General features: G+C 38.2%; 1 protein-coding gene across 9 annotated transcripts in view; it reads left to right on the top strand.

The window, feature by feature from the left end:
• KIF6 (kinesin family member 6) overlaps positions 1–14637 on the top strand; it is a 395419-nt gene that overhangs the window by 142478 nt on the left and 238304 nt on the right. For all 9 annotated transcript variants that reach the window (XR_001743238.2, NM_001289020.3, NM_145027.6 and 6 more), the window contains exon 10: positions 4772–4875. Coding sequence is in view for 8 of the 9 variants with exons in the window: in NM_001289020.3 (NP_001275949.1) it covers positions 4772–4875 (104 nt within the window). In the remaining variant the exon portion in view is untranslated. The remainder of the gene's footprint in view (positions 1–4771; positions 4876–14637) is intronic.

Genomic DNA, 14637 nt, shown 5'->3' with positions numbered 1-14637 from the left:
TCTTTTATAATTGCCTCTAAAAACTGACATTACTGTCAGTCATTTTATGTATAGAGCTTGTCTGAGGCACAAATGACAGTTGAGAATTTGTCCTACAAACCACTCAAGACAAAACTTGGGTGGCATTTCCTATGTCTTACTTTTAAAATTTAATGGCAAATATGGAGCCAGCCGATAAGGATTTGCCCTGCTTTCTTTAAAAGTATTGGTACCTCAGGCCAGGCACGGTGGCTCACGCCTGTAATCCCAGCACTTTGGGAGGCTGAGGCGGATGGATCACCTGAGGTCAGGAGTTTGAAACCAGCTGGATCAACATGGAGAAACCCCATCTCTACTAAAAATACAAAAAAAATTAGCCGGGCGTGGAGGTACATGCCTGTAATCCCAGCTACTCCGGAGGCTGAGGCAGGAGAATTGCTTGAACCCAGGAGGTAGAGGTTACAGTGAACCGAGATTGCACCATTGCACTCCAGCCTGGGCAATAAGAGCAAAACTCCATCTCAAAAAAAGCCAAACCAAACCAAACAAAACAAAACAAAAAAAGTATTGGTACCTCAGAGAGACAAGGTGGTAAAAGAACTATGAACAAGGCCAGAGCCTGTGGTGACTGGGCATGAGCTCAAATCTCCTAAGGATGTCTCTAATGCCAGGGTTCCTTCAGTAATTGGATGGGAGGCATAACTGTAGTAATCTCAAAACCAAAAAAACTTGGCTTAGTTTTGAGATTTTTATTCAATAAGACAGGAGAATAATTTGGTATTAGATTTGACTTAAAAGCCTTAGTAAAAATAGAAAATATGGCATCAATATTAGTTTAATAGAGAAGGGTGCCAATGTAGTTACTATCTCAGGATTTTCATTCTGTATAGATTGATGATCCTAAGAATATTTTTAAAAAAGAAGCAAACAAAACCCACATGATCCGATACATTTCAGTAAAATTCTAGGAACAGTGACATGTTCAAAATACTCAATATCATGTTCTTTGGGATTTCTGGTCCTGTTGATATGGCCCAAATAATCTGAAACTCACCTATATACCTAAGCATCTTTGAAATACATATGTAAGGTTGAAAGGAAGTAAGGGAATTCTCCAGGGCCCAAAAACTAAGCTGAGGCTGCAGTTGTCCTGGAGTGGAGATGTAAAGGAGGTTGTAGCAAAGGAATAGAGATTAAAGCCCTGGGATGTTGCAAGATGGATGCTGAACCTAAGACATCCTCTCTTTTCCCCAACATAAAACCAGTAAAAGGGACAACTATAAAAAAAAAAATCTATCCACTACCATATGGAGATGTCAGGGCAGCTTGTCCGCTTTCAAATGGACTATAGGTAAAACAAAAAGTAGTTTTTCTGAAAACTACTTTGAAAAATTTGAAACCCTAGCTCTACCTCATGTAGGTTTGAAATTCAAATTTACATAACCCCTTTAGTCTGACAATCCCCAAGCAAAAGAAGTTAGAAAATGAGTAAAGCGGGCCGGGCGCAGTGGCTCATGCCTGTAATCCCAGCACTTTGGGAGGCCGAGTGGGTGGATCACCTGAGGTCAGGTGCATGGCCAACATGGTGACACCTTGTCTCTACTAAAAATACAGAAATTAGCCGAGCATGGTGGCAGGCACTAGTAATTCCAGCTACTCAGGAGGCTGAGGCAGGAAAATCGCTTGAACCTGGAATGCGGAGGTTGCAGTGAGCTGAGATGGCACCATTGCACTCCAGCCTGGGCAACAAGAGCAAAACTCTGTGTCAAAAAAAAAAAAAAAAAAAAAAAGAAAGTAAAGCTACTAAGAGGAAGAAAGGAAGGAAGGACAGACCAGATCCTATGGTGTTTTTCTTTCAAGTTTTGAGTACTACCAAATATTCCAGAAAGGATGAAAGCTGGATCAAGCCTGCTAATTTTTTTCTTTTAGGAATTTTGCATTATGATAGGAAGATTATTAATATGACATGTACTATCATGAACTAGTTGGGTTTATTTTGGGAATTCAAAGTAATCTATCACTAGAGAATGCATCAATGTATATTGTAAGAAAAAAATGAGAAAAGTTAAAACAAAATTTAGGATAATGGTAATGGGGAATTCATTCAGGGAAGACTATGCAGGGGTGAGGTCTTCAGACAGGTCTGTAATGTTCTATTTCTTAAGTACAGGGTACATGGATGTTCACTTAAGCTAAGTAGTGGGTACAAGGTATTCTTTTATACTATTTTATATGCCTGAGATGGTTTATACTAAAATACTAATCACATGAATTAATATGATTCATCACATTCAGAGTTTAAAGAAAGAAATTATATTATTTCATCCCTAGTTGCAGAAAAAGTGTTTGAGCACATTAAACATTCAACCATACTTTGAAAACATCATTTTAAAGGTGAAATTTTAGAAGAAATAAGACAGGAATGTCTTAAGAATTGAACTTGGAAGTCCTAGCTAGGAAAATGAGACAATAACAAGAAATAAGATATATAAGAATTAGAAAAGAAGAAAAACATCTGTCATTACTTACAGATAATTATGTTGCTTACATAGAACATCCAAGAGTATTTAATGATAAATAGAACCCCCAAAGTTTCAGAAAATTATTTGGTATGTAATCCATACATAAAAATGAGTTGCCTTCCTATATGCCAGAAGCCAACAGTTAGAATATATAATTTTATAAAAATTCTATTTACAGTGTCAACAAAAACTTTTAAATTCCTGATATAAAATATAATTAAAGACACGTAAGGTATTTAAAAAGAAAATTATAGATCCTTATTGAAAGGAATCAGTGGAAAGCTATACCATGTTTATGGATGGGATAATTTAATATCATTAATTTGATGTCTGACGAAATTAACCTTTTAACTAAATGTAATAATTCCAGTTAAAATTTGAGGAGAGCCTTTGGTAGAATTTGACAAGTTGGGTCTAAAATGTACATGGAAGAGCAAATGGCCAAGAATAGCCAAGTCTATTTTGGAAAAGAACAGGATGAAACGGGCTTATCTTATCTAGATGCCAACTTTCTTAAGATTTAGTAGTTAAATTAGTGTGGTATTGCCATATATAGTAAAATAAACAAATGTGTTTAACCAATAGCCCAGAAATAGACACATTTATATATATAAACATATTATATAATTATAATAGCAAATCTTGTATGGTTAGCCATTTAAAATAAATTAAAATTTGATCCCTATTTCATACCTTATACAAAGTAAAATCCACCTAAATGTGAAAATCAAACCTTTAACACTTTTAAAAGATCATATAAGAATATATTCCTATGATTTGGGATAAGATAGATTTTCTTTCAAATGACACAAAAGTACAACACATAAAGGAAGAAGGTGCTAATTAGATTATATTGAAATTCTGAACTTTCATTTAACAAAAAGAACACTGCAAAGTGAAAAACATGACAGAGATTGAGAGAAAACAGGTGCATTGCATAAAACTAACGAAGGATTCACATCCAGAATATAGAAAGAAGCTACCAAATCAATAAGGAAAGGAAAAACAAGTAAATGGAAACATGGACAAGAATGGGAATAAATAATTTGAGCAAGGAAGAACCCAAACTGCCAATATACATATGCAAAATGACCTACTGCACAAATAATCATGAAAATGCAAATTAGAACTAAAATGAGATATCATTTTACACCTAACAGATTGGCAAAATGAAAGTACCTGTCAATATTACATAGTGACAAAAATGTGGAAACAGGAACTTACATCTGTAGTTGATAGGAATGTAAATTTGTACTACTCTGAAGAGCAATTTAACAATATATAATAAAGGCAAGATGCACATACTCTCCAGCCAGGAAATCCTACTTCTAAAGTGCACACTACAGAGAAACTCTTACATACGTGCTCAAAGAGATTCATAATGTTCATAGCAACACTGTTCGTAATAGCAAAAGTAAAAATCCTAAATGTTCATCAACAGGAGACAAATAGATTCTGATATATTCCTTTACTGAAATACTATATATCCATGAAAATTAATGAACTAGAGCCACATGAAGCAATGTAAATAAGCTTAAAAACATAATGTGAAGGACAAAAACAAGTTGCAATTACATGCAGTAATGTAACATTTACATAAAGTTTAGGGCATGCAAAATGATACACTACATTATTTATGAGTACATGCATACATATGGAGTAAATGTATGAAAACACACAGAGAAATCAGACCCCTTAAATGCAGTACAGTGATCACCCCAGGAAGGACGGAGGGGGGATACCAATAGGGGGTTCCAGTTACATCAGTAATGTTTTATTTGTTTTAAAAAAAATTATAGAGGCTGGGCGAGGTGGCTCATGCCTGTAAACTCAAACTTTGGGAGGCCAGGGTGGGTGGATCACGAGGTCAGGAGATTGAGACCATCCTGGCTAACATGGTAAAACCCTGTCTCTACTAAAAAAAATACAAAAGATTAGCCGGGCATGGTAGCATGCGCCTGTAGTCCCAGCTACTCGGCTGAGGCAGGAGAATCGCTTGAACCCGGGAGGCGGAGGTTGCAGTGAGCCAAGATCATGCCACTGCACTCCAGCCTGGGTGACAGAACGAGACTCTGTCTCCAAAAAAAAAAAAAAAAAAAATCTAGAACTATTTTGACAAAACGTTAAGATTTAACAAAGCTGGCTTTTTATACCATTACCCATTTTTGTGTCCATAAAATTGTCCATAATTTTAAGAGCTGTATGTTCTCTGTCACCAAGTTCACCTTAATGAGAAGTTGACATTTTCTCTGCCTCTTTGCCATTTGTAGGTGATTAAACGCCTACAAAAGGAAATCCAGGAACTGAAGGATGAACTGGCCATGGTCACTGGGGAGCAGAGGACAGAGGCACTCACAGAAGCAGAGCTCCTTCAGTAAGTCTGCAGACTTTTTTTTCTTTTTCTTTAACAGTGAAAGTTTGTGTTAACTTCTTTGTTGGCCCTAATGTTATGAATTCACCTCAAAGCATGAAGGTCTCCTGGGACAGTCTGAAATTGCATTTAGGCGCCAGTTAAGAGTGGCGGCTTTCCATGAAAAGCTGGATAAGGCTGGCAGTGTTTTTGCCGCCTCAGCTTTGAGGAAGTAAAGAACAGAGCAAAGAGAGGATGGGAATATCCTTCTCATGCCAGCTGAAGAAAAGGAATTGTATAATAGTCATGCAATTTTAAAACACACACACCAAACACTCTTGAGCTGTGGGTCTCAGATCTGAAAGGAATTCAAGAGACATCCTTTGTATTAAACAGCATCTTGCCACAAGCACCAATTTATCCCATGCCAAAGTAAGCTCTCTCTTTTAATAAATGGATGGCCCATATATTATAGCTCGAACACTCTAACTGGGAATGAAAGCAGGTATTCAGGGCTTTATACAACTGCGGCATCTTTCAGAGCCTTTAGATTTGCAGCCATATGGCATATCAGTGGTGCAATGTGGCTCTCATTCTCTCTCTGATCACAGTGGGCTTTCTTGTTTCTGTGCTGCTTATTAAGCATGTGTTGGGTAGTAAGAATGGGCCAGGCTTTGAAGGCCATGGCATTCTCTATTTCCAAATGAGAAATAGAGCTACATAGGATTTCTAAAGATATACTATAATTTCACCTAACCCTCCCTCAATGGAGAAAATGGTAAATTAGAGAGAGAATAAAAGTGGTTGTCTTTAAACTATTTCATAGCTGCCCCTGAGGTAGGTCTAAAGCTTGAGAAGCCTCAGCAAGGTTTCTGTTATAGTCAAAGCTTTCACTCCTACGGGGTAGTGTTTCCTAATTCCAGAACACTGTATTTAATAACATGATAGGCCCCTAAGGCTTTTCTTGCAAGACTGCTTTGTGGCATATTTGCAATTAAGGGGAAGCATATTGACAAAAATTCACTTTAAAAAAAGTTTTATGTCATTTCTTCAAACAACTTGGGATATCATAGATATTGAGAACACTAACCTCAAACTATCTTCACTATGGTGTTCCTTTCCCCTCAAAGAAGGGAATTACCAATTATTGTCTTTGAAAATGTCTCTTCAGAATTTTGATCTACAAGTCAGGATCCAGCCAAGAAAACAGAACCAGTCTAGGCCTTTTAACAAAAGGAATTTAATATAGGAAATTGACTGCCAGGAGACAGTTTTGCTGAGAAACTAAACAGGAAATGAAGCAACACCCCAGAGATCAGTAACAGCAGGAGCTTCTATGCCCCTAGGATTGCAGGGACAACAGGAGAAGGTGATGATACCAGAACCTAAGAGCAGGAGCTGACAGGCAGAAGCTAGACCATACTGAGTGCTGTGTGACAGCCGCTGCAGCCACTGAAGAGCCACAGGTGCTAGTCGAGACACTGTCCAGAGGAACATCCTTGGCTTCTCTCACGTCCCCCTTTCAGTCTTCCACCAGTGCTTCCTGTTGGCTGAAGTTATCCAGAAGCCAGTTGCTAAAAAAGTCTAGGAATGTAGTTTCTTGTGATGCAGAGTCAAAGATGGGAAGGGGGAAACTGAGTCTAAAAGCAACATATTCAATCACTACCAATGTTCACATCTGTAATCCCAGCACTTTGGGAGGCTGAGGCGGGTGGATCACCTGAGGTCAGGAGTTCGAGGCCATCCTGACCAACATGGAGAAACCTCGTCTCTACTAAAAATACAAAATTAGCCGGGTGTGGTGGTGCATGCCTGTAATCCCAGCTACTCGGGAGGCTGAGGCAGGAGAATCGCTTGAACCCGGGAGGCAGAGGTTACAGTGATCCGAGATCGCACCATTGCACTCCAGCATGGAGTGAAACTCCATCTCAAAAAAAGAAAAAAAAATCAGTACCAGTGTTTCTGCGAATTCCTGTGTATCCTGTATGTTTTTCAGGAGGCTTAGTTTAAGGGTAAGATTTTGAATATGGTGGTTTCAGTATGTCAGACTGAGTGTGCTGCAGGTTCCCTCTATTGTATCAAATCTAGAGAATTATAGCACTGGGATAAACACATGGATCTCTCGTCATACCTAAAAACAGGAAGCCGACTTCTTGATGGTCTAGAGACTTCAAGGAATTCCTGAGGGACCGAGAGGTGGGACTTGAGATGGACAAGAGTAAAGGATAGACTAAGGCATGGGTGCAGCATAATAATTGCTCCACGTCTGGAAGTGTGGAGCCCTGGAGCAGGAGAGGGCTAGGAACAGCCAATGAGCATTTGGTAGAGCTGTTGTAGTGGGGCAGTTTGTCCTGTGAACTCCTGAGCCCTCCTCCTCTGCAGTGTTAAGAATGGAGAGACAGGGAAGGGCCCCAGGTAGCTGACAGAGAGCCCAGAGAAGTTCTGAAGACCAGTTGCTGTCTTTAGCTTTATTTACCCATCCCCTATTCTCACGAAAAATAAGAGGAAGCAGCCGGGCGTGGTGGCTCACGCCTGTAATCCCAGCACTTTGGAAGGCCAAGGCGGGCGGATCACAAAGTCAGGAGATCGAGACCATCCTGGCCAACATGGTGAAACCCATCTCTACTAAAAATACAAAAAAATTAGCCGGGTGTGGTGGCGGGCGCCTGTAGTCCCAGCTACTCGGGAGGCTGAGACAGGAGAATGGCGTCAACCCGGGAGGCAGAGCTTGCAATGAGCCGAGATCGCGCCACTGCACTCCGGCCTGGGCAACAGAGTGAGACTCCATCTCAAAAAAAAAAAAAGAAAAATAAGAAGACGCTCAAGCACTGGCAGCTGCTTCAGCCCCTCATCCCAGACAAGCTGCTCAAGCTGAGATACCTGAGAGTCCAGGAAAGATGAGCCCATGGTTCAGGTGTGGCTGGAATTAGAAATATGAGGCCAAAAGTCTGAGAATGATAAGAACAAGAAGATTGTACAACCCATAGGGCCTTAGAACTAAACATTACCCAAAGTGATTAATATCTTTAGAGAAATAGAATATGGTATTACATCTATAAAACAAGAACAGTAGTTGACTTTTATGAAGCAAAATCAAGGGGAAATCTTGGAAATGAAAAAATATAGTTGTTGTCATTAAGAACTTAACAGATGGCTCAATAACAGAATGAAAAAACCGAGGGGCAGATTGGTGAGCTAGGAAGATCAGGGCTAAGGATTTCTTCCAGAATATGAGATAAAAGGATAAAGAGAAAGGTTAAAAGAAAAGTGTCATAGAGAATAGCTCTATATTTACCAATATCTGATGAATAGGTGTTGGTGAGGAGAAAATAGAGATGATGCAGAGGAGCCAATAGTTAAGAAATAATATCTCAGAATTTCCTAGAACTAAAAAAATAAGACATGCAACTTCAGAATGAAAAGCTACCAAGTGCTAAGCCATATAGTCATATTGTAGAAAATTTTTAGAGCCACAAAATACAGAAAAGAATCATGAAAGTTACCAGAGAGGAAAAAAAATTACTCTAAATCAATAATCTGATTTAGAGCAAACTTCTCATCAATAATTCTGAAAACAAGAACATCTAGTGCTAAGGAAACAAACAAAAAGTACTTTAAATGTATTTTTCTGTATCTAGCCAAATTTGTATTCAAATGTGAAGATGAAAAAAGGCATTCTGCCGACATGCAAACTTTCAGACCGAAAGGATAGCACCCTAGATCCTTTCTCAAGGAATGACCACAGACTGTAATTTAACAAAAGAAAAATGCAGTAAAGTATATGCAATAAGAATGAGCAAATTTTGTTATATCTTCTTTATGATTCTTACTATTGTATAATATTTATATTATATCTTTTACTAACTTGCCATGTATTCCATAAATGAATTTTTCTGTTTAGAAGGCATAGCAGTCAAATAACAATTAAATTTTTCTTTCACAAGAGTTTGGGCGATAGAATGAAAACTAAAATTGTGACAATAGATTGAAATACTGAAGGACTTATAGATCCTGGATTGATTTCTGTTGATCTATAGATGAGAAATATACAAATGTCAACCTCAACAGATCCTATAGACAGTATGGAGGGTTGCCAGTAGTTTTTTGTGCAATTAGTTTATTTGTTCATTCATTTAACACTCATTATTTATCTAACATTCACAAAACTCTATGTTAGGCCCTGAGTGGGGCACAAATATGAGCAAAACCTAGATCCTGCTCTCAAGAAACTCATAATTTAGTGGTGGTGACAGACATGAGCACAAGTAATGATGTGATATATAAACATTATGAGAAGATATAAACAAAATACAACGAGAATGCAGAGATATCAATAATTACTTTTGGGCTCAGGAATCATGTAAAACTAGTTCACGTGCTACTAAATAAACTTCAGCATTTCCCAATGAAATGACTTGTCTGCTGTCAAGAGAAGTGTGCTATGTATCATTGTGTCTTATTAGTGATTTCTGACTAGCAGTTAGGGAGAACAAATGTTGCAAACGAAAATCACCCTGCCAAAGCAAATCATACAGTTTCACAAAAGTAGTAAATTTGGCACTCGTTCACAACTGACAGTGCAGATTATTCAGACAATGTGTTCTGTTTTTATTGTTTATGTTAAATTGTTATCATTATGTTTCCCATAATTACCTAGATTGAACATTAGTACAACCTACATTTCAACGGACTTAAGAGTCTTTTATCATCTTAAAATGAAAGTGATAAATTAAAATTTACCCCTAAAGTGCTACTGCTATTTAACACCATTAGTCTGTACTGCTCTGTGTTCTAGGGCCCCTGGATATTTATTCAGGAATGTGAATCAGCTTCAGTCCTCTTATTGCGCCCAAACTCTCCAGGAGACAGGCAGGAGGGGGATGATGGTACTGAGAGAGTATGTGTCCCAGAGCTTGTCAGGACACAGTGGCAGAATTGCTCTCATCCTCTTCTACTTCTCTGTCCTGCAGATTCCTGCAGGTTTATGTTGATTGGCATGGCATAAGGATATTACCATCAGACATTCTCTGAAGAATATCAGAAAGCAGATATTTAGTAGATACGGTATTTTATCTAGTATGAATTGTGCAGTTTGAAGATGTCTGTTAATGACTAGCCCTATCAGATTTTTTGAGCCATTTCCCAGCATTTCTATGCTTAATGTAAATATTTGTTGCATGGACTTGGATGCTTTAATTTAAGAGGATTTCAGATGTCAGCCTCCAGTTATTATGATATTTTTAGTTTACATCTTTTTTGGGGGGTGGGGTGGCTGGGTATATTTGAAAAGAGACAGCTGGATAAAGGCTGTATAGCCAAGTTAATGTATACAGAACTTCTTCGGTGAAGATTTGATTGTGATTGAGTCTCTAAACACATATACAATTGTTTCTTTGGTAAAAAAAAAAAAAAAAAAAAAAGCCTGTAGATCTTTGGCTAGGCTTGGAAGCATTGTATCCTGACCCAAATCTAAGCGAGTCAAATATTTTCTGTTAGCAACGTTTCACTTCCGAGATGAAATTGAATTGGACCTCATTAACTCTTGCCCCAAAGTGTCTGGATACCTCTAAACATCTGGATCCTTTTCTAACAGAAAAAGAGGTCTTCTTGCAGTTAATCCTTCAAGCTGAATTTATTGAGCACCTACTAGACGCTAATCATTTTAATAGGTGCTTTGGTGGGGGGTTAGAGGTATAGGATACAAAAAATTACAAAAAATAATTCCAAGGAGTTACAGTTTTATTAAGGAAAACTTACAGACACATATATACACACAAATACATACACATGTATATGTATATATAAAACACAGAACAAAGGAATATATTAATGGAGAGAATAAATGGATGCTGATAATTTTAACTTTAATTCTAGTTTTTATTCTACCCATATTAGTTTTTTAATGACTCTGCAGACTTAAGGTTTCTTATGTGTAAGGTGAGAGAGTTAAACCAAATGTGATCTATGCACTCTTTTCAGTTCCATGTTTAAAAATGTAATAGCAGTTTATTACATATGGTTAATACATTATTTACTCACTATGATAATAAAAAGCAAAATAATTATGTAGGAATTCAGAAATGAGGGAAGTCACTGAAGATTTCACCCATGGAGTAAGCTGAAAAATTTCTAAAGGATGTCAAGAGGAAGAAGGCACCCTTCTAACAAAGATTCTGAAAGGGAATGTGAGAGGGTGGGAGGGGTGGGGTAAGGAGTGTAGAGAATAGCAGGAGACCAACATAGGAGTTTGCATATAGCAAACACTAACTGATGAGAATCTGAATTGAAACTGGCCTGGCAGGAGCCTGAAGTTCTCATGGAGGAATTGAAGAATAGGACTAGACAGATGAATGGTGACCTCATGGTGGGTTATGAATACCATATGCAGAGGAGCTGGTATCTTCCTTAATGGTATCTAGGAAATGAATTGTGGTCTGAGAGTATTAAATTCATTCATTCATTTAATGAATGTTTATTTTGCTCTCTCCTTGTGCTAGGCACTGTTTTAGGTGCGGGAAATATGGGAATAAACAAAATAATGTTCTTGCCCTCATGGAGCTTACATTCTTGTGGAGAGACAGTACACAAGATAACTAAAATATAGAGCATTTCAGATTGCAGAAGCTGAAAAGGAAAAATAAAACAGGAGTTGCAGCTTTAGCAGGGTGACCATGAAAGAATTTATGTGATGACGTCTTTTTTAAGATTACTCCTCTCATAGAATTGGACAGAATTGGCTGGAGTGAGAAATCAGAAAAACATTATAATCAGTTTGGGAGTGAGGATGAGGGAAGAGACTTGAATGGTGACGATAAGAACAGAGAAGAGAAAAGTCTGAGAGATCTTGTTAATGAAGAATCAATAGAAGTGATGGTTTCACATATAAAAGGGGTAAAAAAGGGAAAATAGTGATAACTTATGACTGTAAAACAGGTTATCAAGAGGTGGAAAAATTGGGAAAGGAAAGATAAGAAAGGCTCAGTTTTTGTGTATGACGAAGAAATACACAGATTGAATTCTGGAACTTCAGAGGAAGGTTAAAAGTGATGATTTAAATTTTAGGGTGACTGGTAGTGAGTTGATATAATACTGAGGTCAAGACCAAGAGTCAGTTAGGAAATTCTCTGATCTAACCTGAGGTATGTAATAATTAGTGTATTAGTCTGTATTCATACTGCTAGAAAGAACTGCTGAGACTGGGTAATTTATAAAGAAAAGAAGTTTAATTGACTCACAGTTTAGCATGGCTTGGAAGTCCTCAGGAAACTTACAATCATGGCAGAAAGCAAAGGAGAAGCAGGCACCTTCTTCATGGGGTGGCAGGATGGAGTGAGTGTCCAGCAAAAGTGGAAAAGCCTCTTATAAAACCATCAGATCTCGTGAGAACTTACTCATTATCAAGAGAACAGCATGGGGGTAAACACCCCCATGATTCAGTTATCTCCTATCAGGTCCCTCCCATGACACATTGGGATTATGGGAACTACAATTCAAGATGAGATTTGAGTGGGGACACAGCCAAACTCTATCAATTAGTATCCATAGGATCATAATCTTCCTACGTGCAAGCTTACTATAGGTGGATTGCCAACTGAATTCATCCTTTCACTTAGCCACATCAATCACCACATCTCCTCCCCAGTGTATTTTTACATGGAATTAAATATTCCAGTCACTGGATATTTAACAATGAAGAGAAAAGGAGCTCCTACCTAACAGGTGGCCCTGAACTCAACATGCCCCAAACTGAATTCCTCTCCATTTTTCCCCAGACCTGGTCTCTACCACTGTATCCTCCATCAGTCAATGTCTCTCCAAGCTGTACTGTTGCCCAAGCCAGAAAGTTAGAAGTTTCTTGTGGTTCTGTCCTTTTTCTCATACTCCAAGTCCAATCGGTTTGGGGCATTTCTTTTAAAAAGTAATTATAACATTAAATAATTTAAGACTAAATATAGTTTAAATCCAAACACATAGTATTATAAAACCCACACAGAATTTGTTTCAAAAGAACATATTTGTACTAATAAAAGCTTCATTGATGTCCAAGCTTTATATTGAAATGCAAATAAATATGCCTAAAGGAAGAGTCTTAAATGCTCGTTTATCCATCAAATAAATCGCACTTTGAAATAAAACAAATTTATACCTGTATTCATTTTTTCCAGTGGATAAACACTGACTGAGTACTAACAGGACCATGTTGGGCACTGTGTTAGGAGCTGGGAGGCTCAGAGACAAACTAAATAATCCCTCAGGAAGGTGGTGTGCCACAGACAGGGGAAGATGTCCAGACACACACGCTCTTTGCTGATGCCCACCTGCTGTGATAGACAGCTGGTAGAGATGGAGGTGGAGGAGTGTTCTGTGAAGGGGAGGAAACAGAGAGGAAAGATTTTATATAGGAAGTGACAACAAAACACCCATCAATGCTTTCATCCTTTGAAAGTTAGCATTTAAAGGTAACTCTAGGAGAAGCCATTTCCACCATATTTAAGTTGCAGTTCAAATTTTTTTATTGGCTAATCAAACAAAAGTTTAATTTGATTTAGTTCTTCAATATGTTTGAAGTTGAATAAATTTCAACTATAGGTACAGTGGCTCTCTTGAGCCTAAAATTTGATAACTTATTCCAAAAAGCGTAAGACAGAATAATTTTTCAAAACCATCTCATATAATTTGATATATACCATCCCAATGACTATATGTCTTGTAACGTGATCCTCAGACTATTTTAAAAATCAAATGAAACAAACAAATAAAATAAATAAATATTCTACAGTATTTGAGTTAATACAGTCCTAGTGAAAATTAGATACCAAACCAGTCTTTTAGGGACAGTCTCTTGTCAGTACTTAATTCTGGACCAATAGTGCTTTATCCTTTTTATATTCAGTTTATTGTCACTGGCCTCCAAAGTGGTTTTAGTTATAAAACCACTATTAAAAACATTTCAAAATCATGACTCATCCTCCACAAGTTCTGTGACATGACAAGCCCTCCGGATTGCACTCTGCAAGAATCTTCACTGTAAAGGCAGGAGGAGTGGATTTCAGGAAACTATGAACCTCAAAGATGAGAAGTAGACCTGGAGAGAGAGAGAGTGGAGAGAGACAGAGAGAGAGAGAGAGAGAAAGGCCTACAGAAGAGTCTAAACCATCTATTGAAGATTGTTTGAAACATGACTGAACTCTGTCCTATATAGACTGCTTATTAGAAAATGAAAAATCTCGGCCAGGCTCAGTGGCTCATGCCTATAATCCCAGCACTTTGGGAGGCTGACGCAGGTGGATCACCTGAGGTCAGGAGTCCAAGACCAGCCTGGCCAACATGGTGAAACCCCATCTCTACTAAAAATACAAAAATTAGCCGGGCATGATGGTGGGTGTCTGTAATCCCAGCTACTCAGGAGGCTGAGGCAGGAGAATTACTGAAACCCGGGAGGCAGAGGTTGCAGTGAGTCCAGGTTGCGCCACTGTGCTCCAGCCTGGGTGACAAGAGCAAGACTCCATCTCAAATTAAAAAAAAAAAGAAAAGAAAAGAAAATGAAAAATCTCAAGAAAGTTTGTGCCTAATTTCTTGTAATGGATGAAACTGTTCAAATGATATTAACCACACCTCACTATTCAGAACCCCTCCTATGACCCAGGTCCCAAATGCAAAGGCCCTAAATGGCCTAGCCTGTGGCAACTGCTAAGACCCCGTTCCCTGCAAGCATCTCTTTCATTCTGGTCTCCTCACCATTTCTCCCTGAAAACGCCTTCTTCACTTCCTTGATCAAATGTCTCA

Source organism: Homo sapiens, chromosome 6 (assembly GCF_000001405.40).
Source record: "Homo sapiens chromosome 6, GRCh38.p14 Primary Assembly".
NCBI lineage: Eukaryota > Metazoa > Chordata > Mammalia > Primates > Hominidae > Homo > Homo sapiens.
The sequence above is the reverse complement of the archived record's forward strand: the minus strand, read 5'-3'. Positions and strand labels throughout refer to the sequence as shown.